This window comes from Homo sapiens, chromosome 12, assembly GCF_000001405.40.
Source record: "Homo sapiens chromosome 12, GRCh38.p14 Primary Assembly".
NCBI classification, from domain to species: Eukaryota; Metazoa; Chordata; class Mammalia; order Primates; family Hominidae; genus Homo; species Homo sapiens.
This window is the reverse complement of record NC_000012.12, coordinates 125085058-125108048: the sequence shown is the minus strand read 5'-3', so window position 1 is coordinate 125108048 and position 22991 is coordinate 125085058. Positions and strand designations below refer to the sequence as shown.

The following is a 22991-nucleotide window of genomic DNA, read 5'->3' as shown; positions in this document are numbered from 1 at the left end:
GCTCCATGTAATGACAGCTTCACAGAACACCACCCATACCTCTTATGAGCCTATTCTGTGCTAATATTTTATTTTATTTTTATTTTTTGAGACAGAGTCTGGCTCTGTTGCCAGGTGGAGTGCAGTGGCATGATCTCAGCTCACTGCAACCTCCGCCCCCTGGGTTCAGGCAATTGTCCCACTTCAGCCTCCCGAGTAGCTCAGACTACAGGCATGTGCCACCACGTCCAGTTAATTTTTGTATTTTTTAGTAAAAATGGGGTTTTGCTATATTGGCCAGGCTGGTCTCAAACTCCTGGGCTCAAAGCAATCTGCCCACCTCAGGTTCCCAAAGTGCTGGGGTTATAGGTGTGGGCCATTGCGTCTGGCACTGCGCTAATATTATCTATTCTTGTCTATTCTGATTCGTTCTTTTTAAAATACTGGCAGGGCCCACCTATTGAGTTCACAATCCCCCAGGTGGTCCAGACCTGCAGGGTGAAAGTAGCTGGTTCAGCCAGCGCACCCCCCACCCCCAAGGCACACCGCGCTGTACAGTGACCTCCAAGCCTATCGCCATGGTGTTAGGTGCCATCCCAGCCTTTGAAGTGGCAGCACTCCACTGCCCTGGGCCCAGTGCCGGATCTCCGTGCAGCACCCCACTTGGAGAGAAGCTGCACGTTGGACTCTCCGGGGATGGGGTGCAGTTTGACAACTCCAACACTGCCATCATCAGCTGGGAGGCCCTGTTGAAGCAAACAGACAACAGGAGGCCCTGCAGAGCCTTCCCCAGAGACCTACCCCAGCGGAATGCACCATGCACTTGGGTGCGCCCGTGGTGCCCGATGAGAACATGATGAACAGTGGGTGGCTGAAGGGCAGCTGCTCGAACTCCAGCTGCGGGGCCTGCTCACTGGTGCCGGTGGCAAGAAAGTCATCCAGAAACACACTGTGGGCCGAAACGCAGGGAAACACGCCATGAACGTCCCAGAATGCTGGACCGGACCCACTGATTCCACCCGTGCACTTCCCTCTGTTTCTACCCCCAGAAAAGCCAGGATTCCAGGGGGACGGTGGCCAGATTTGGAAACTTCCTGGGACCAGGGGAGGCAGTTAGATCTCAGAGATTCAAGCTAATTGAAGGAAAACTCATCGAACGAGTGAAGGTTTCAAGTTGCTTAATCAGCACTGCTGACAGGGCCAAGGGCTGTCTTTTAGAGAATATTTTAAGTGTTTTCATAACCACCACGGAGAAGGATCACTTACAATGAACAAGCCATGTGTGTACCAACACGGCTGAAGGAGGCTTTGGAAATGGCCTTGAAGTCTTCTGAGCCCATGTCCTTTGTTTGCTATTGATCACCTGATTAGCAAACGCTTTGTTTCCAATGATTGCCCAAAAGGAAGCACTCACCAAGTGGGTCTGAAGTAAGATGCTTCCCCCGTGGGGAGAAGGGAGAGGAGGAGATGCTAGATTAATGAGCCCTTCCTACAGATGTGGGGTCAATTTCCTAAACTACAGCTCAATGACAGAGAACCGCTCAGCAAATATCATGTGTTGTCACTAACTTACTAGATCCTGAGGTTTACAATAGCAAGATACAAATATCTGTGCAAGAACAAATAAAATTAATCCCAGCTATTGACTGTCACCCAGGAAGTGTGCCTAGGCTTACCCCCAAAGCTGACAGGCAGCATTGTTGTAGGTGGCCAAGAACCACCAAAGGGGCGACACAAACAGGAGATTTGTTTTCTGCACTAGAAACAGCCGCAGAAGCCACAAGCCATCTTGGGAAAAGGTGGTTTTCTATTTTGAATTCAGCAGCAACATCCATCTCAAAACATTGGCCCTATACTCAACTGACAAATGGACTTTCTCTCAGGGAAGGAGGTGGGAATCAGTTAAACGCAGCCTGCAGCCATTTGCTAGGGATAATTACTCTGAAATACAAATGCCATACAGACTAAAATGAAGAATTTTGCTGTCTTGCATGAGAAGGCATCCTTAAATATAAAGGTTTCTCCTGGGGAAGACATGGTGGTTTAAAAAGGGCATCCAAAATAATTCAACTCTAAGCAAGAAACAAACAAAGCCGTCTGCTCCAGCATGTCAGGAAAACTATTCACTGTGGAACTTTACAGCCAATGAAAACCCCATCCCACCTCTACCTCCTATAAGAATCCCATTATAAAGTGCCAGATCTAATCAGATACTTCACACAGAGAAAAGCCTTTTCTGTCAAATGGCCCATAAATCACAGTACATAATGATTACCTTTGTTAAAGCTCTTCTAAGAATGAAAAGCCCACAGGGTGGCTCCCCCGGCCCCGTCAATTCTCCACAGATGGGCACGTACCCGTTTCTGCTTTATCTGTGGCATCCACAATCAAAGGATGGACTGCAGTGGGAGTCCAGCCCCTGGGGTGTCGGGCTAAATGAAGTGGCTAACATGATTCTGCTGGATGCCCTCATTTTATATCAACTGCTGATGAATATTATTCAGAAAAAATAGCCAGGCCAACCAGGGGGCTGGTAAACCCTGTCTGGTTTTCCTCCTAGCCTCCATGCATCATGGCCTCCATCCATACACCTGGGGCACAAAATCCGAGGTTGCATGAAAGAAAGCCAGCGCTCTGGCACCTGGTTATAATTTATTAAGGTCGGCAGGGTCCCACAGTCCATGGGACAGGCACCCGGGCCTGCCTGTGAAGAATCTGCCCACCCTGACTCAGGTGCTTCAGGCGACAGAGCCCACCGCGGCCGCACAATGACAGGCAGGATCACTGAGAGCTGACTGTGCACGCTTTGCAGAGCAGCAGCTTATTTAATCCTCCCAGCCAGCCTGAGAGGAAGGTGCTGATAAGAGTGTGGATGTTTGTCCCCACCCTCATCTCGTGTTGAAATGTAACCTCCAATCTGCAGGTGGGGCCTGGTGGGAGGTGTTTGCATCACAAGGGTGGATTCCTCGTGAATGGCAGGGACCATCTCCTTGGTGATGAGTGGGTTCTCACTCTGAGTTCACACAAGAGCTGGTCATTGAAAAGTGTGTGGCACCCCGCCCCCCGACCCCCTCCACTCCTGCTTTCCCATGTAAAGTGCCCGCTCCACTTCCCTTCCGCCATGATCACAAGCTCCATACAGCCTCCCCAGAAGCAGATGCTGGCACCATGCCTCTCGCACAGCCTGCAGAACCATAAGCCAATTAAACCTCTTTTCTTATAAATTACCCAGTCTCAGGTATTTCTTTATAGCAAGGCAAGAACGACCTAATACAGGTACCACCTCATCTCCATTTTACAGATGGAGACACAAGGCTCAGAGAGGTTACTGGCACAGGGTCACACAGCTGAGAGCTGAACCTGACAAGTCGGATCTGGAGACCATGGCCCTCGCCAAGCCACCACTTTGCCTGCAGCACCCTCCAGGCTCCAGAATATGCCCTGCACACACAGCTGTCCCCAGACCCTGCTCATACCTCAAAGCCACCCCCAGATGCCACCTCCCCAGATCCTACAGGGAAGCACCCAGGCCCTGCTGTCAACCCCTGGGCACATCCTGTCCCTCCCACTCCTAGTGGTCACAGCTCAACCTCCCTGCAGGTGGGTCTCACCTCTCCAACTAGATTGCAACTCCCGGAGGACAGGACACATGATTTGTACCTTGTGGTGCCCCTGAGAACACCCTGACAGACGGTAACAAGCCATGCACCGACTACCACTTGCTGGAACAAAAAGGGCTCCGCCATCTCCTCCTCTCTTCCACCTCTGGTCCCCGTGGCTGGTATGAAGACACCCTGCCATGTTTACATAGCCCCTCCTCACCAGGCCTCAAGGAGCCACGTACAAGGTGCCCTCCAGTGGCCCCGACCCAAGGCTCAAGGGAAAGCTTACCCCGTGGGGGTAAACGCCTGAGCTCAGAACCCTCTCCCCACAACTGTTTCAAGAAAAATTAAAGGAAGGTATAACTCCAAGAACTTTGGGAAGAATTCAGCTTTGACTAAACCATAATCCATAATCCATTTCCTTAATCTCTATTCAAAATGAAGATTCTTTTTTTTTTTTTTTTTTTTTTTTTTTTTTTTGAGACGGAGTTTCGCTTTTTTGCCCAGGCTGGAGTGCAGTGGCGCTATCTTGGCTCACTGCAAGCTCCTCCTCCCGGATTCACGCCATTCTCCTGCCTCAGCCTCCCGAGTAGCTGGGACTACAGGTGCCCGCCACCACACCTGGCTAATTTTTTGTATTTCTAGTAGAGACAGGGTTTCACCGTGTTAGCCAGGATGGTCTCGATCTCCTGACCTCGTGATCCGCCTGCCTCGGCCTCCCAAAGTGCTGGGATTACAGGCGTGAGCCACCATGCCTGGCCAAAAATGAAGATTCTTACAATCCTATTGGGTACACAAAACATGTGGCTTATTCTTCTACAAATGTCAGAAAAGCCAAGGAAGATGTCATCAGCAATGGGGAACACACGCATGTCCTAAAAGGTGAAAAATACATATACGAGTGTTTATGTATGCATAGCCATACATACACATGTACACATGCATGTGCACCTGTGCACGTATGCACGTGTGTAAATGCACATGCATGTGTACACGTGTAGATATGTGTGCCTTGTCGTGTGCATGCGTGTGCAGTGCATGCACCATGTGCACATACATGTAAACATGATTTCCAATGCAAAATTTCTGTGGCCAATCTAGGAAGGTGGGCTTGGCCCCATCAGAGCCCCCTACATAAGGGACACCAGATTGGAAGAGTGAGGGTGCCTGGGACTGTCTCTCTTCCGCCACTCATTCACTATGTGGCCTTGGGGGATTCACTCTGGGGCCTCAGGTGTCTTATCTACAAAATGATGCTTTTAACTAAAACCTCCTCCACTTCTAAAATTCTCTGAGTGACCCCAAGTAGAAGATCCAGAGGCCTACTTCCCCGCAGGAGCTCCAGTGGGTCCACACGGACCTGTGGGTCAGAATGCGGTACATTACCTGTTTGGAATCTTTGAAAGGTCTATGTTCTCTCTGGAGGACACATAAGGAATCACCACCACTTTCTTCAAGTCTGGTAGGCCTGGAAGGAGCGAGAGGAGAAAACACAAGGTTACAGGACAAAGATGCTTGGCTGCTTTTTTTTTTTTCCACAAAATATAACACAATCTGGGGCAGAGAATATAACACAATCTGGGGCAGAGACTACCCAGATTGACTCCTGGCAGACTCTTATGTACCCACACACACACCCAGCCATGCCGGCTGGGAGCCGGAAGGGCCACACACCTTTAACCACCTGCTGCAGCTTTTCCATGTGGTTGTGCTCTTTGCCATTATAGACAACAGCCTCCACAGAGAAGATGAGCTTTGGCTGAATTTGAGAAAACCGGTCCAGCACACCCTGAAAGCAGGAGGAAAAAGTCATCATTGATCATCCAAAAGGCAAAAACCAGCAGGCATGGTGGTGGGTGCCTGTAGTCCCAGCTACTCTGGAGGCTGAGGTGGGAGGATTGCTTGAGCCCAGGAGTTCAAGGTTGGAGTGAGCTATGCTTGCACCACTGCATTCCAGCCTGGGCACGAGTGAGACCCTGTCTCTAAAAAAAAAAATGGCAAAAACCTTCAGTAGCCAATAGGACCACTGCATTTCACGGGAGAGAAAGGGCATCATCATCAGTGCATGACCAGGTCCCTGTGTCCCCAGCACCCGTAGCCAATAAAGAAAGTCGATGAGGCCGGGCGCGCTGGCTCACACCTGTAATCCAAGCACTTTGAGAGGCCGAGGCAGGTGAATCACTTGAGGTCAGGAGTTCAAGACCAGCTGGCCAATATGGTGAAACCCCATCTCTACTAAAAATACAAAAATTAGCCAGGCATGGTGGCACATGCCTGTGGCCCCAGCTACTTCAGAGGCTGACGCAGGAGAATCGCTCTGCAGTGAGCCGAGATCGTGCCATTGCACTCCAGCCTGGGCAACCGAGCAAGATTCTGGTTTTTTTTTTGTTTTTTTTTTTAAAAAGGCAAGCATGGTGGCTTACACCTGTAATCCCAGCACTTTGGGAGGCTGAGGTGGGCGGATCATGAGGTCAGGAGTTCAAGACCAGCCTGACCAACATGGTGAAATCCCATCTCTACTAAAAATACAAAAATTACCCAGGCATGGTGGCACGTGCCTGTAGTCCCAGCTACTCGGGAGGCTAATGCAGGAGAATCGCTTGAACCCAGGAGGCAGAGGTTGCAGTGAACCAAGATAGTGCCACTGCACTCCACCCTGGGCGACAGAGTGAGACTCCATCTCAAAAAAAAAAAAAAAAAAAAAAGTTGATCAAAGCACAACTTATATCTGAGAACAACCACTATGCCAAGGAAGGCATCAATATCAAGAAATACCAGAAGTATTTACAGACATATACTGAAATATGAAGAGTATAGAGTGTGTGTTTACACTACCAAAAAGATTCCCCACCTTACAGAAAGAGCCTGTTAGCACAGCTCTGCTAGTGTATACAAAAGAAGATTCATCTTCCAAAGAGGCCACAACAGCAAAGCAAAGTGGCCCCATATTTTGGTTCTCGGAATCTTCAATTAAAGAGGAACCTGAATCCTCCAAGCAGTGCATTTATGCCAACCAATGGCATAAGCCTACACGTGCATACACTAGTTAATGAGCCCCATCTTAAAAGGCAGGATCACCACACCCATGTCTCTGGTCTGTACTGCACGTGGAGTCTGCAGTCCAGCCAAGGGCACTGCTTTCCTGAAACAGGGGATTCCTTCCATGCAGGCATGGGCTTGTTCTTGGAACTCATAACATTCACTGACACTCCCTGAGTGTTAGTCCAGATTATTAATTATTAACAGATTATTAATGTTAGTAACAGATTAAAGCACTCTCAGACAAGGCTTCTATTCACTTCCCTCCTGGCCATCCTCAAGGTTACACTGTGTTAAGAGACTGCCATCTGCAAACATGGGTAGCCATCGCCCAGATGGCTGCTATTCCCTCGCACATGAGCCTGATGCAAGCAGTTCAAGACCAACACCTAGGGCTACCCCCAGGGCACATACAGTGGCCCCAGAACCTGTGAGTAAGGACTTCACAGCACAGGCTCTCCACCCTGGCTGCCTGGTAGCACCGCCTGCAGTGGGACTATTAAGTTAATTAAGCTCATTAGGATAACTAATTAACGGGTCAGGAGCGGCGGGCATTTGTTTTCAGAGCTCCCTGGTGACTCTTAGCAGGGAAGCAGAAACGCTGACTCTGGGGGAGTCTAAGGGGCAGAGTGTTGTGGGAGGGAGGCTGGGCAGCTCAAAGTGTGGTCCCCCAGGCAGCCAGTCAGCCTCACCTGGGGCCCCAGACCTAATGAATCGGACACTCTGCAGGAGACCCAGCAATCTGTTCTCACCAGCCATCCAGATGATCCTGAGGTGTGATAAAATTTGAGAATTTCTGTGCTAAGAGTTCTAGGATTCAGAGTTTACTCAACACTGTCCAATTTCCCCAACTAGAAGGTGAATTAACAGAGAAGAGTAGGGAGTAGAAAGCATTTGTTTATTCCATGTGCTAGGTGCCAGGCACCGTGCCAGGGAACCAGACAGACAGGGTTCCCACTCCCCAGAACATACGATCTATCAGAAACACAACAGGAAAACAATTGCAAATGTTATTGTTTTCCATTTCCAATGTTTTCAGTAAACTACACTCAAAATTAGGTAGCCAGGGAAAGAAAAAGAGAGAAGGAATTAAAGCCATAAGGAAAAACTAATGATGGACTTGACCAGCAAAACCAAAAATCATTTTTCCAAAACAACCAATAACATAAGCTTCTTAGCAGGCATGGTGGCTCGCGCCTGTAATCCCAACACTTTGGGAGACGAGCTTGGACAGCTACAAAAGAATTATTTTATTAAATTAGCAGGGCACCTGTAATCCCAGCTACGTGGGAGGCTGAGTGGGGAGGATTGCTTGAGCCCAGGAGCTCGAGGCTGCAGTGAACTGTGTTCGCAGCACTGTACTCCAGCCTGGGCAACAGAGAAAGACCCTGTCTTAAAATAAAATAAAAGTAAGCTTCTTGAAAAATCTGGTCAAGAAGAAAAAATGCATTTCGGCCGGGCACAGTGGCTCACGCCTGTAATCCCAGCACTTTGGGAGGCTGAGGCCGGCAGATCACTTGAGGTCAGGAGTTTGAGACCAGCCTAACCAAAATTGAGAAACCCCATCTCTACTAAAAATAGAAAAATTAGCCAGACACGGTGGCCCATGCTTATAATCCCTGCTACTTGGGAGGCTGAGGCAGGAGAATCGCTTGAGCCCGGGAGGCAGAGGTTGCAGTGAGCTGAGATCATGCGGCCTCGGTGATAGAGCGAGACTCCATCTCAAACAAACAAACAAACAAAAAAGGAAACCTAACATTTCCAGTTATCCCTTGTAGAACACTTACTCTGTGTCAGGTGCTGCCCTAAGCACTGGACCGATATTCGCTCATTTACTGCTCAGAATGACCTTGGACATGGGTGGCCTTATCACCCTCATATTGCAGGTGACTAAGCTGAAGCATGTGGCCTCTCAAAATTAGAAATCACACTTGACTACAGAATAAAAGATTCATGAGCCAGAAAACAATGTTTAATAGATTTTGAAATCCAGATAGAATGGATGACTTCTCAAGAAAATAAAAATTACCAAAATTTATTCAAAAAGCAGCACCACAGCTGAAGTGACAAAGGTCTACCTCCTCCAGGGACACCAGGGTGGGCAGCTCTGCAGGCGAGCACCACCAAGTCTCTGTAAGCTACAGCATCCCTTCTGCGTAAACCATTACAGAAGTCGGAGAAAGACAGGAAACACACAAACCAAAAGAGAGAGAGATTACAGACCAATGTTATCGACTACAGCAACAGGCTAACAGAGGGGGAAATCGCATGATTATCTTGGAAGCTTCTGATAAAAGGCAACATGCTTTCCAAACCCATGCTTTAATCAGCTGGAAACTGAAGGATACTTCCTCACTGACAAAAGGTATCTGGCAGACACCTGACGGCACATTTCGCACTTGGTAAAAGATAAGATGTCCAGTGAGAAAAGGACATGCAAGACGCCCACCCCCAGCCCACCTGCACCTGTGCCGAACACCCCCACCTACGTCCCGGGGTGGGAACTAGAAACAGTTTGCCCCCTACACACAATGGGAACAGCTGCACACAAAATCTGTGAAAGTCACCAGAAAAACCACTAGAACAAATCAGTTAGGCAAGGTGGCCACATATAACTCAATCCAGCAAAATAAATAGTGGTGTTAAACCCCAGCAATACAGTTTGAAAAGGTAATGAGGGCCAGGAGCGGTGGCTCACGCCTGTACACCCAACACCGGGAGGCCAAGGCGGGTGGATCACTTGAGGATCAGGAGTTCAAGACCAGCCTGGCCAACATGGTGAAACCCCATCTCTACTAAAAATACAAAAATTGGCCAGGCGTGGTGGCGCACGCCTGTAGTCTCAGCTACTTGGAAGGCTGAGGCAGGAGAATGACTTGAACCTGGGAGGCAGAGGTTGCAGTGAGCTGAGATCATGCCACTGCACTCCAGCCTGGGTGACAGACTGAGACTCTGTCTCAGAAAAAAAAAAAAAAGGTAATGAGAAAAACAGAACAAAAGAAAATGAGAAAGTCACTGAAGGATTTTTTTTTTTTTAGACAGGGTTCTGCCCTGTCACCCAGGCTAGAGTACAGTAGACAGATCACAGCTCACTCAGACTCAACCTCCCGGGCTCAGGATCAGGCTGTGTGCCACCACACCCAGCTAAGTTATTTCTTTTTTGTAGAGATGGAGTTTTGCCATGTTGCCCAGGCTGCTCTCAAACTCCGGGATTCAAGTGATCCATCCGCCTCTGCCTCCCAAAGTGCTGGGATTACAGGTGTAAGCTACCCAGCCCAGCCCTCTAAAGAATATTTAATCTGGGAGAGAGACAGAAACAAACACTGGTTCGGATCCACTTGTTAAAGGGTGTGTACTGGATAGTAGAAAGGTGATGAAAGTTAAAAAAGAAAGAAAAGAAAAAGATAAAAAGGTGTACAGTAGAGAGAAGCAGAAATGAGACTGGTCGGAAGCTACTACGACGGCACGCGTGAGAGATGGCAGTGCCTAGCCGGGGTCACAGAGGAACCGAGGAACCGCTCAATCAAACGTATGAAGGAGGACAGTGGAGAGGCGGCAAGAACAGCCAACGGTAGGGAAGGGAGTGAAAGGGTGTGGCGCACAGCCCGAGCTCCTGGTTTGGCAGGGTTGTAGTGGCGGGGGTTACTGAGATGGGGCTCCCCCTGGGGACTTGTGAGCTCCTCTGGGGCTCACTGAGTCTTGAGAACTTCTGGCAGCCCCGCCAGTGCTGACTGGACAGGGGGAAGGAAGGCTGAAGTGCTCTCAGGATGCACAGTCATGACAGGAAGGAGGGGTCTTCCTCCAGCTGAACACCTTGGCCACTGCGGAAGGCACGGGAGGAGGCGCAGACCAAGCCAAGCTTCTCTCTACTCCCGCCACTTCCTCTGCCCCTCAGCAAAGTTCACGGCGGGCGGGTGGGGGACAAGGGAATGACTGTGACATTATTACAGAGACGCCCTTGGAGCTGCCCCAACGCACTTTTTTTTTTTTTTTTTAAGTAAAACATTGGCCAACTTCAGCATCAGTTTAAAAAAGTGCATGGGACATACAGGTAACAGGGACTTGGCCCCTGGCCTCAGGACATCAGGCCTTCGGTCACCGTCCACCTCCTCCCTCCTCCATTTCAAGGGTACCCCCGGTACCCCTTCCTCAGTGACGTCCTTGGTGGACAAAGACTATTTCCTACTACTTCTTCTTCTGCTCTAAACTGCTACACAGAGGTGGTTGCAGAAAGCCCCAAAATGGTGCCCCCCAGGAGTCCAGCAGCAACAGGCCGAGTCTGCAGGCAGGTGGCACCCCGGTCCCACCAGCATTTACTCCGCAGGCCACCAGGGCTAGCCCTCCTTGCGTCTGATGCTAACATACACCCTGCCCAAATCCATCAGAAGAACAGAATGCCCAGAAATGGCCCTTCCTGGCACCAAACCCTCCTGGACTGAGAATGCCACCCCTTCCTCCTCCCCAGCCACTTCTGATGGGCAGGAGACTGGGACAGAAGCATCCAGGAGAGAAGTCTTCACCCCCTAGACCAGCGCCTGGGCACTGGCACTGGAACAAGGCATCTAAACAGAAGCTCACCCCCAGCCAGGCAAGCCCCTCTTCCCCATTCTCAGTGCCCAGATGCACCCCCCGAGAGCAAGTGCCTGCCCTTCCTGGAAAGACACCACGTCCACTTAACTAAGTGCATGCACAGCGATTTCTCAGACTCTTTCATGTCCTGCTGGGACTTGGGTGTCCCTCTGTTTACTTCTGACGCTCTCTATGCAAATATCAAGGTAACACATTCAACCTACTCTAAGGCCATGGTCCTTACTCCTCCCTTTCCTGGCCACATGGCCCTGGACAAGGTATCCCTGCACCTGGCTCCCTCCAGCCCCAGCCACCCCTTATGCAAAGTGAGTCCCAACACTCCTGACACCCAAGCTCCCTCACCCACAGGTAAGGGGCCTGTCCAGACCTTGGCTGTGGCGAACACACAAACCACAAATGGCATGTCTACACTGGTGCCCTCTCTGTGCCCGGGATTCTAAGATGGACCGAGAGTTCTTGGTTTAGTGGGGAAGAAATGATTGCCAGTTAAAACATATTGAGCATTTACTGAATGCTTACTATGTGCCAGGCCCCAGTCTGAGCTCATTAGAAGCACTTACTGCCCTTCACAGCCTTAAGAGAGGGGCAATAAGGCTGGGCACAGTGGCTCATGCCTGTAATCCCAGCACTTTGCATCACGAGGTCAGGAGATCGAGACCAGCCTGGCTAACATGGTGAAACCCCGTCTCTACTAAAAATACAAAAAATTAGCTGGATATGGTGGCAGGCGCCTGTAGTCCCAGCTACTTGGGAGGCTAAGGCAGGAGAATGGTGTGAACCCAGGAGGTGGAGCTTGCAGTGAGCCGAGATCGCGCCACTGCACTCCAGCTTGGGAGACAGAGTGAGACTCCGTCTCAGAAAAAAAGAGGGGCAATAGTATCCACTCCCTAACCCTGATAAGGCAGGAACGGGGTGAGTGACTTGCCCAAAGCCTCACAACTGGCCAGAGGCATGGCTGGGCTGCAGCCTGGCTTGTCTGATGTGGGTGCTGGTGCTCCTCACCACTGTGCTGGCTCCACTCAGAAAACACTAATACCGTACATGGAACAGAAAATCAAAACAGCAGAACAGATTCGGGTGCTAAGATACTGCAGCAGACTGAATCAGGAGGAAGAGGAGGAAACCCAGAAAGCCGCTGGAGTCAGCATCTCCAAAGCCCAGCGTCAAGAATAAGCAGGTCCCACAGGGTAGGCGGGAGGGAGAAGAGGCTGTTCTGAACAGAGGACATAGAGATCAACACCCAGGGGCAGGTGGAGTGGGGCCCAGAGGAAGACCTGCCAGGAAGCCTGAGGCCAGGGAAGAAACAGAGAGAGCCAGCCTGGGAGAGCCCCGGAGGGCGGCAGAGAATTTCCACAAGGAAACTGGGATCTCAGAGAACCAGCCCAGTACAGGGTGACCAGGATCTCAAGGTGAAAGGACTGAGCCTGCCAGTGATCTGGGGCTCAAATACCACAGGACCCCAGGCACAGTGACAGTGATCAGGCTACAAAGACGAGTGTTTCTGAATCAGAGGTCTGGCCCCTAGCCCCATGAAAAGACTCAGGGGTCCTCTGACACAGCTGAAGTTTTCCTGGCTGGACCAGCAGGGATCAAGATCTCGAGCATCCAAAACCAGCTGTCAGCCTGTCCTGGCCCAGGAGAGCTGCTCGAGGACAGCTTTCATGTTGCAACAAAACAAACACACCTATGAACATGTGTCTGACCTGAATACGGTGCTTAGCAACCAATCAAGCATTGAAACCAACAGCCGGTGTTGAATCATGGTGACAGCCACCCAGAGCGAGCGAGAATGGCTGTCCTATTTACACACACAGACACACACACACACACACACACACACACACACACACACACACACACGGCCACCTGATGGCACTTCAGGAGGACAAGGCCTGCAGGCTACAGGCTGGGCTCTCTGGTGTGCAGGGATCAGAGGGTGGCCTTCCCTGACATCTCTGAAAATGGCAAAGGCTCAAAGGTAAACAGTGAAACAAAAAACCCAAAGCCATCAAAAGACTCAGGACCTAGAGATCTTGCTGGGGCTGGAAAGGTTGGGAACCCTTAGAACAGAGCACTTCCCCAACCTGGCGATGCCCTTCGAGCCCAAAAGCATTAGTAAGGCAAGCTGAGATGCCCAGGCAGCCAGCAGAGAGCAGGCAGAAGGAGGTGGGCAGTGGTGGGAGAGAGCATGGAATGGGTAGAAGTAAAGCACAGGGGAGTGACGGAGGCCAGAAACGCGTTCCCCCAGTGTCATCGAGTAAAGACGGATGCCCCAGCACTCCCTGGACAGCCCACTGCGGTCTGTGGCTCTGCAGCAGAGAGGGTCCCTTCAGCACCCAGCACAGCCAGCCGAGGAGCTCTCAGTGGACAGGCGTGTGAACCCACGAGTCCAACGGTGCGACTCCATCAACAGAGACCAGAAGTCAACACAGGATTTGTAGGAGAGTGGCAATTTCCCTTTACGATATTCTCTGAGATTCAAAGAAATATAATTTCAAAGCAAGAGAAAACATGATTCCAAAGGGAAGACATTCACGCTTCATTGCAGTTTCTGAAGAGCGCCCCTTACTGAAAATGGGGCACAGTCTGAAGTTTAACATGGTGATGATGGAAATTAAAAACAGGATCTCTTTTTTAAGTAGAGATCTGCAAACCGATGCAGGAACTGTCCACGAGCCCAGAACCCATCAGCCTTGGCTCAGTTCCAGCCCCACCTCATCAGCAACTCCAGGAATTCATCCCTGTTAGTTTTAGCCCCTGAACAAGGATGGTAAATAGAGGGTGAGCAGAGGCTTTCGCGCAGTCGACCTGTGCCAGGTCCTTACTCAGCTCCGACAGCGGGTGTCCAGGTGTCTGTGGGACCAAGCGCTATGAACATGGCATCCACGCAGGCCCTCCCACGCTGGGTGCACACGGCCAGGAGTGCTGCCCAATAATGCCTGCCACGAAGCCACCAAATGCCGACAGACTCCCTGCCAACCGGCTGGATCTCAGTTCGAGTGCGAGTAACGTGCGTCACACACACCCCCGTCTCCGGCAGGATGGAGTCTATACCTCGGACACTAGCAAAATGAGCGACAGAGAGAAGCATCTCAGCAGGAGGGCAGGTGGCCCTGTTTTCTGACCTGAGACGTAGCCGCAGGGCCTGGGACTGTTCACTTCCCAGAAGCTGCGGGAGCCATGGGGTGAGCAGAGCCATGCTGCCATCTAGTGCGCCCAGCAGCTCGGCCAGCACTTCCCACTCCAGAGGTGGCTCGGGGAGGCGGTGATTCCAGAAAACCCTGGACCAACCCCGGCCAGGAAGCAGTGTCCCCGAGACCATGTTTGCTACAGAGCCATGCATCCCTCCTGAGTCCTTCCAGGATGGGCAGATCCTGCCGGACTGGAGTCAGCGGGGAGTGACGTGCACAGGACAATGACCCAGCGAGGCTGGATGCAGCTGTGAGACAGGCTGGGGTCCAGCCCTGCCACTGCAGCCATGCAGAGTCAGAGGCTCTCCCTCTCTCCACCCCCTGGCCTCAGACAAACCACCAAAGGCCGATTCCAGTTGCTCTGATATCACCTCTCCAGGGGGAGGAGGCTACACTCCAGCTCTGGGAGGCCATGATCACTCCCCTGCCACACACGGCTCTCCCAGCCTCTCACAACCCGTTTACAAAAGGTTAGTCATAATTTAACTCAAAACACACCCATCTCCCGACTAGTTCAAACAGTAGCTAACACTTACTGGGCTGGCCTGGAGGGTCACACCCTGTCCCCGGCTCCACACAAACGTGGCTCCTGCCATCTGTGCAGTTGCACTAACACTGCTGCCATTCTCCCTCTGGGGACACCAGGGCACTTGCCCATGGACACTGATCAAGGAAGCCACATGGAGCAGAGGCAGCCAGCCTGCCCGGCCTTGAGCACACCCTGCCATCCTGCCGTCTCACCCTGGGGCCCTTCCCTCTGCCCTGGACAGCCTGGCTCAAGGTCGGCTGAGGGGTCTGAGTGTCCAGTCCGGAACTCCACCCCTCCAGACCCTCCCACAAGGACACCATTGGCCCCAGCAGCCCAGGCAGCCCCCACAGAGGGCCCTAGGGACAGGAGAGGCCACAGGTTGAGTTTCTGTCTAGGTCAGTCCCTGCTGACCTGGGGAGGTCCTGGGGTGAGATGGCCTGGGAAAGAACACAGGAAAGTTCCAGAAGGCAGGGCACGGCCATCCAGCCACACAGTACAGATCTACAAGGTGGCCACGCCCTCCCTGAACCCAGCAGGGCTCCATCATCAGCCCAGCTGGTGCTGCGGCCTGATGCACGGCTGGCCAGTCTCACTCCTCTGGGCCTGTGTCTGATCTCTCCTCCCACGGTGTGGAGAAAGGACACTCCTCCTCCAAAACCTTACTGAAAAAGCAAGCCTCTAAGTAGACATGATTTCTAAGCTCACACCCAAAAGCCTCACCTGTGGACAAGCACAGACACCAACTCCGGGCACTGGGTTTTAAAGGGCCAGCGGCCACACCTGCAGCTGGTGCTGCTGACTGACGGACGGCACAGGGCCTGGCCCAGAACAGAGGCAGCTGGCACCAGGAGGAGCGGTCAGGGACACGGATGCTGCATGTCCTGTAACAGGTTCTCATGGCTCCTGAAGGTCCCTGACGCTCAAGGCTCTGCAGCCAGGAGAGGGCCCTGGCTGGGGAGTGGGGGCCCCAGGAAGACCCGCTCTGCGGCTGCTTCATTTGCCCCGTGGAAAGACCTATAGGCTGGGGGGCCCCAGTGGGGATCAGCACATGCTTCCGGCCCTGCCTGGGCCACTCTGGGCAGCTGGACACACCCTGGGGTGGTTTGGGGACAGAGAGGCCACCCTCCCGGAGTGCACACCCACACAGTACGGGTCCAGAGGAAGGGGCTGGTAACAGCAGAAACCAACACAGGGAGGTCCTGGGGAACTTCTGCAGGCAGGACTTTGAGAACAAAAATCTAGAGAACTCTCTTCAGAGGACATACACTTAGCAAACCTCACGTGGTCACTAAATCCCAGGTGAGGAAGACAGGGCTCGACCTTACTAGACCTTAACAACACTGGGTGCTGCATACGCCACCTGCCCACGTCTTCGATGAACACGGCGAGGAGTGGGGGAACGTCAGGACTGCTTGAAAGGAAGAACCAGACGCAAGTCCTTCTGGCTTCTTTCCCCATAGAGGCAGCTGCAACGCCACCTCCTCCCGCTGGGCTCACGCTGCTGTCCGGCTCCCCTGGGAATTCAGCCCATGCAGCCCCTGCCCAGGATGCTCACAGGGCAAGGGGTGCCCCCTCTGTCACAGACCCTGACTCACATTCACACCGAAGTCCGGGGACGTGGAGCTCCAGATGGCACCAATGCTTGCCGCAGCCAGCATCGCCTCGACAGCGTGCTCACTGTTGGGTAAATAACCTGTGGAGAAAACATAGGAAGAAGCCTTGGGTTCAGGGTGTATGGGAGGTAGCAGATGTCCAAAAGGTTTCTCTGAGAGCCAAGGTCAGAGTGGGAAGGGGGCTGGCCTTGAACTGCCTGAGGATCCTGACCACCAGCCCCCGCCCAGATGAATCGCCTGCTGCCAGCCTGTCAACTCCCCACCATCCCCCTGCAATCCATTCTCCATGCTCTGATGACAATGACCCCGTGGGCTCTCCTCCCTCTGCTCCCCATCCCTCCCTGGGATCTGGTCACAGCAGCCTTCTTCCGACTCCTCAGTTGTCCTAATCACCTCCTGCCTTTGCACAGCTGTCTGATCTGCTGAACACTCCTCCACGCACACCAGCAGTCTCCACTCAGTGTGCGCTCATCCTGCAGCTCTTCACTCAAATGAAACTTCCTCAGAGCAGCCTTCTCCAAGGCTGTCTTGCCCCCAACCCGGTGAACTCAGGTCCCCCAACTAGTTACCTGCAAAGCACACTGTATTTCTCCTTCACCAAACTTAGCATAACTGCAAATGAATAATCACCTGTGTAACTGGCCGTCTAGTATCTGGTTCTCACATGAGGGCTGGGACTTTGCCTGTCTTGTTCTTTGCTTTACCAAATGCCTTTTACCATGCCCTGCACATCAAGGGTCCTCATATATTTGCCGGCTGGCAGATGGATGGATGGATGGATGATGGATGAGGAATGATGAATGGAGGATGGATGGATGAATGAATGGACGGATGACAGATGGAGGATAGATAAATGGATGGAGAGATGGATGATGGGTGAATGGGTAGGCAGAGAGAAGAATGTATAGACGGATGGATGATGTATGAGGGATGATGAATGGAAGATGGATGGATGAATGGATAATGAGTGAAGGATAGATGAGTGGATGGAGAGATGGAAGATGGGTGAATGGGTAGGTAGAGAGAAGAATGTATAGACAGTTGGATGGATAGTTGGATGGATGGTGGATGAGGATGATGAATGGAAGATGGATGAATGGGTAGATGATGGGTGGAGGATAAATGAATGGATGAATAGATGGATGACGGATAAATGGGTAGGTGGAGAGAAGAATGTATAGACAGTTGGATGGATGGATGGTAGGATAAATGATGGATGAGGGATGATAAATGGAAGATGGATGGATGAATGGGTAGATGATGGGTGGAAGCATAATAAATGGATGGATAGATGGATAATGGGTAAATGGGTAGATGGAGAGAAGAATGTATAGACAGGATGGATGGATAGATGGATGGATGATGGTGATGGATGATAAATGGAAGATGGATGGATCAATGGGTAGATAATGGGTGGAGGATAGATGAGTGGATGGATAGATGGATGAGGGATGGATGGGTAGGTGGAGAGAAGAATGTATAGACAGATGGATGGATGGATAGTTGGATGGATGATCTATGAGGGATGATGAATGGAGGATGCATGGATGAATGGGTAGATGATGGGTGGAGGATAGATAAATGGATGGATAGATGGATAATGGGTAAATGGGTAGATGGAGAGAAGAATGTATAGACAGGATGGATGGATGGATGGATAAATGATGGTGAGGGATGATAAATGGAAGATGGATGGATGGATGGGTAGATGATGGGTGGAGGATAGATGAAGGGATGGATAGATGGATGACGGATGGATGGGTAGGTGGAGAGAAGGATGGATAGATGGATGGACAGATGGATGGGTTGATGGATGGCTGCACAGACAGGTGGACTGGTGGATGGTTGGTTGGATGGATAGAGAGGAGAGGGAATGAAGAACACAAGCAGTACTGTCAAGAGCCATATTCAAGCCTATAAGGGGCAGAGGTCCTCAGGCCCTCCATCTCCTAGCAGGCTGGCTTTCATGACAACAGAGGCAGGGAATCCTCATGGCCACAGAGACTATGATCAATTAACCAGATCACTCTACACATTCCAGAGGAAAGGACCTGTACAGTAGGGCAGAAGGCAGTCACGAGACGAAGGGCCATGAACAAGGCCTCATCAGAGCGAGGTGCAGCTACCCAGGTGTGCCCCCAGGGGTCCCTAGTCAGCTGGCTCCCTTTTTCCCTCCTTCTCCCCCCTGCAGTGGGTGTTTCTGTTTGTCTGGATTCACACGCGACTCCCCTGCTGGGCCATAAGCATCCAAGGGGCAGGGGTCACACCACCATGGGGTTCCACCCACATCCGGCAGATGGTTGGTGTTGGCTGAGTTTGCAGCGAAGATGAGACTTGGCTATGAGCGTAAACTGAAGCATCTCAACACTGTCACCCCCAGGGTCAGGGCAGGACTCGGTGCCCAGGGGAGGCTGCTTAACCATCTGACTCCATGTGGCTGACAAGTGAGGAGGAGCTGGCCCTTCTCCCATGGTACATCAGACGCCAACCCTGGGAACCACTTCACAGACAAAGGAAAACGGAGCTAGGCGCAGCTTTAACTCCATCTTTTGAAGACTCTAAAGCATCCAACCCCATTTTAATCATTTTCTAGTGTTTTCTGGAAAACTCAAAGTCCCAAATCCTAGTAACTATGATCAGGTCAAATCCGTATCCAACTGAGACCCACAAAATGGCTGGGGCACAAGGAACCAGCTCACCTCTGAAGGGTCCAGGGCATCGCGGCCAGGCGTCTCCTCAAAGAAAGCATAGCTCACAGGGACCTTGGCTGTCCCCAATATAACCTGTTTTGTCTCTCCTTCACTCAGAAACGTTTGCTTCAAAAGATTTTTTTAAATGAGAATTGGGAGGGAAGAAAAAAACTGGGGACAGAACATTTTGCATTCCTTTGCAAGACCTTAAAAGTGTACAGATTAAATCAGACGACCAAGAACCCAAAAAGTGAGGTTTCAGCCTCAAAAATGCCTGCTTTGTGACTAGACGCAGTGGCTCATGCCTGTAATCCCAACACTTTAGGAGGCCACGGCAGGAGGATCTCTTGAGCCCAGAAGTTTGAGACCAGCCTGGACAACATAGCAAGACCCTGTCTTTACCAAAAATACAAAAATTAGCCAGGCATGGTGGCACGTGCCTGTAGTCCCAGCTACTCAGGAGGCTGAGGTAGGAGGATCCCTTGAGCCCAGGAGTTCGAGGCTGCAGTTGAGCCATGATCACGCCACTGCAGTCCAGCCTGGGCAACAGAGTGAGACCCTGTCTCAAAAAGAAAAAAAAAAAAAAAAAAAGTCTGCTCTGATGATCAGCCCAACACCCATAGTCATTCATTCAATAAACACTTCTTAGATGCTGCTAGGTGCCAGGCACTCTCTATGAAGATACAGCAGTGAGGAGAAAACAAAGCCCCTGCCTTCTAGTATGGAGAACACACGCACACAAACACACCAAGATCCCTGCAGGTTCAGGTGAGCCATGAGGACTATGATGAAAGCAGCTGCAGGAAGAGTGGGATGCATTTTTCGAAGGCTAACCAGGAACGGCCTCTGAGGAGGCAACCCCGACAAGCCAGGGTGAACCCTGAGGATAGGCTGAAGGAGAACAGGCCGCCAAGGGCTGAGACAGGAGGCAGCCGGCATGCCCATCGCTAGATTCCTTCCTAGTCAGCTACCAAACGCTGAGCACTAACTCCATGTCCAGTCCTGTTACTCAAGGGGGAGGCGGGGCAGGGTAGTGGGGCCTGGCGCACAGGATTCTTGGTCCAGCCACTTACTGCACTTATAGATGACAAGGCCGCCCAGCTCCTCCTGCCTCTTTGCAAACAAGCTGAACGGCAATTTGCAGTAAGTTCCCTCGGGAGAGGCACACCCGTGCCAAACACCAAGGCTCCAAAGCCCAAGCCCCTCCCCAGTGGCTTTTCCTGCCACCCGCCCCCTGTGGTCCTTGTCCGATGACATGGAGGGGAAAGGGAGGGAGGTCGGGAGCCCCAACCACCAGGGCTGCACTGGAAGATAAATCTCCTTCGTCTGCACCTGCTCATCCCCATGTACACACCTACCTGCATCTCAATTAACTAACAAGTATGTTTGGGGTAAAGAACAGGTCCATGCACAGGCCTTTACATTTTTTCCACAAGTCAAGGTGAAAGGAAAATTGTAAGAAAAATACCTAAGCAGTTCTTCGTGGGAAATCCTCAGTTGCTATCCCAGGGAACAAAGGAGAGCCCCGGCCCAGAGTGGGAAGACAAACCACGCCTCAAGGTCTACACATTCCAGCCCCTGCTCCTTCCAGAACAATCCCCAAATGGGGCCTGCTCTTAGGTCCTACTTCCCTTGCTTTATGGCTCAAGGCGGGAAGGGCGTCAGAACGGACCAGCACCTCAGGAAACTCTAGGCAGAGTGGAAGAAAGTGGACGAGGCCTTTGGGATCAGACCTGGGCACCTGCCCCACCTCCTGCCCTCCATGTTCCACCCCACAGAGCTCCTAATGCCCGTGTAGACGCCTCCTGCTTGCTGCCTCCAGGCCTGTGGCCTCCTGCTTGCTGCCTTCAGCAGCCTCCAGGCCTTTCACAGGCCGTTTCTGCTGCCCAGACTGCCCTTTCCTGCCCTGCCTCACTGCAGGGCTAACTCCTAAATGCGCCTTCCTCCCTCCAGCAAGCCCGTATTGAATGTGCCTTCATCCCTCCAGCAAGCCCATATTGAATGGGCCTTCATCCCTCCAGCAAGCCCATACTGAATGCGCCTTCATCCCTCCAGCAAGCCCATATTGAATGCGCCTTCATCCCTCCAGCAAGCCATACTGAATGCACTCCCTTGATGTTCCTGGAATTGTTTTAGGCTCTGGGACAAAGCAGGGAACAAAGCAAAGCAAATTCCTGCCTTCGCAGAGCAGCATATTCTTTCAGCAATTTTCCTTGGTCTATTTTTTCTCCTTGCATGTAGAGTCCAAGTCCCACAAGGTTCCATGTAATATGACATGACTCCCCCTTATTTGAAAGCCGTCTTGACCTTCACATCACCCATTCTACCTTGGTCTCCTCCCTCAAACCATCACCAGCACCCAAAATACTTACCAACAACCCGATCTCCTTTCTTCACACCCATTTTCCTCATTGCTGCTGCAAACAAAGCCACTTCTTGCCTCAGCTCTTCAAAAGTCACCTTCACAATTTCCTCTTTGCCTTCCCCTGGGAAGAGAAAAAGGGTAAATTGTACACAGACCACCGCAAAAAGAAAAGTTGCAAGCCAGACACTGAATGAAAAATCCCACCTGTTTCAATGCAGGTTATTAATCTACACCCAGGGAAAACAGACGCAGGGAACACAAGCAAGATACAGGTCAACTTAACCTCACACAGAAGAAAGGCTGCAAGAGTCAGCCGAACATATACACTAACAACATGTGCTGCGTAAAGATTCTCTATTAGGCCCGGTGCAGGGGCTCATGCCTGTGATCTCAGCACTTTAGGAGGCTGAGGTGGGAGGACTGCTTGAGCCCAGGAGTTCAAGACCAGCCCTGACAACAGAGTGAGACCTCCATCTCTACCAAAAACGTAAAAATTAGCCAGGCATAGTGGCACACGTCTGTAGTCCCAGCTACTTGGGAGGCTGAGGCAAAGGATCACGTGAGCCATGATCACACCACTGACCTCCAGCCTGAGCAACAGTGCAAGAACCTGTCTCAAAATAAATAAATAAATAAGATTTTCTACCGGGAATGCTTTTATTAACTGAAGAATCCTTTAATTATAATTGTGGGTTTTTTTTTTTAATTACAGATTCACAAGAAGTTTCAAAGAAAGAACAGAGAGGTCCCATGTCCCCCTCACCCAGCTGCCCCAGTGGCTACATCCTCCATAAACAGAGTACACCAGCAAAGACAGGAAACAGAAATGGATGCAACATGCATGTGTGTAGTTCCACGAAACAGACGTGGATGCGACGTGCATGTGCGTGATTCCGTGAAACAGATGTGGATGCAACGTGCACGTACGTGGTTCCATGAAACACATGTGGATGCAACGTGCATGTGTGTGGTTCCACGAAACACACGTGGATGCAACGTGCACGTGCGTGGTTCCATGAAACAGACGTGGATGCAAGGTGCACGTGTGTGGTTCCACGAAACAGATGTGGATGCAACGTGCACGTGCGTGGTTCCACGAAATAGACATGGATGCAATGTGCACGTGTGTGGTTCCAGGAAACAGACGTGGATGCAACATGCGTGTGCGTGGTTCCAGGAAACAGACGTGGATGCAATGTGCATATGTGTGGTTCCAGGAAATAGACATGGATGAAACATGCACGTGCGAGGTTCTCTGCCACCTTACGGAATTTCCTGCAACCACCACAATTGAGATATAGGACATTTCCACCACCCCAAACCCTTCCCTCCTGTTGCCCCTTTATAGTCATCCCTGACCCCTACACCACCCCCACCCCGGGCAATCACTTAC

The 22991-nt window shown here is 51.4% G+C and overlaps 1 protein-coding gene across 12 annotated transcripts in view, besides 3 other annotated features; it reads right to left on the bottom strand.

Annotated features, from left to right (window-relative positions):
- The window catches only part of AACS (acetoacetyl-CoA synthetase), a 77882-nt gene that overhangs the window by 35268 nt on the left and 19623 nt on the right, over window positions 1–22991 (bottom strand). For all 12 annotated transcript variants that reach the window (NR_183033.1, NR_183032.1, XR_007063117.1 and 9 more), the window contains 5 exons: window positions 21606–21719; window positions 16526–16623; window positions 5256–5370; window positions 4968–5049; window positions 781–928 (listed from right to left, as the gene is read on the bottom strand). Coding sequence is in view for 9 of the 12 variants with exons in the window: in NM_023928.5 (NP_076417.2) it covers window positions 781–928; window positions 4968–5049; window positions 5256–5370; window positions 16526–16623; window positions 21606–21719 (557 nt within the window). In the remaining 3 variants the exon portion in view is untranslated. The remainder of the gene's footprint in view (window positions 1–780; window positions 929–4967; window positions 5050–5255; window positions 5371–16525; window positions 16624–21605; window positions 21720–22991) is intronic.
- Window positions 2217–2716: an enhancer, noted in NCBI's record as "H3K4me1 hESC enhancer chr12:125589879-125590378 (GRCh37/hg19 assembly coordinates)". NCBI's record gives its function as "activates a minimal SCP1, AML or CMV promoter by ChIP-STARR-seq in naive H9 embryonic stem cells {active_cell/tissue: H9 hESC(naive)}" and the evidence as "EXISTENCE:reporter gene assay evidence [ECO:0000049][PMID:30033119]".
- Window positions 2717–3218: an enhancer, noted in NCBI's record as "H3K4me1 hESC enhancer chr12:125589377-125589878 (GRCh37/hg19 assembly coordinates)". NCBI's record gives its function as "activates a minimal SCP1, AML or CMV promoter by ChIP-STARR-seq in naive H9 embryonic stem cells {active_cell/tissue: H9 hESC(naive)}" and the evidence as "EXISTENCE:reporter gene assay evidence [ECO:0000049][PMID:30033119]".
- Window positions 16477–16978: an enhancer, noted in NCBI's record as "H3K4me1 hESC enhancer chr12:125575617-125576118 (GRCh37/hg19 assembly coordinates)". NCBI's record gives its function as "activates a minimal SCP1, AML or CMV promoter by ChIP-STARR-seq in primed H9 embryonic stem cells {active_cell/tissue: H9 hESC(primed)}" and the evidence as "EXISTENCE:reporter gene assay evidence [ECO:0000049][PMID:30033119]".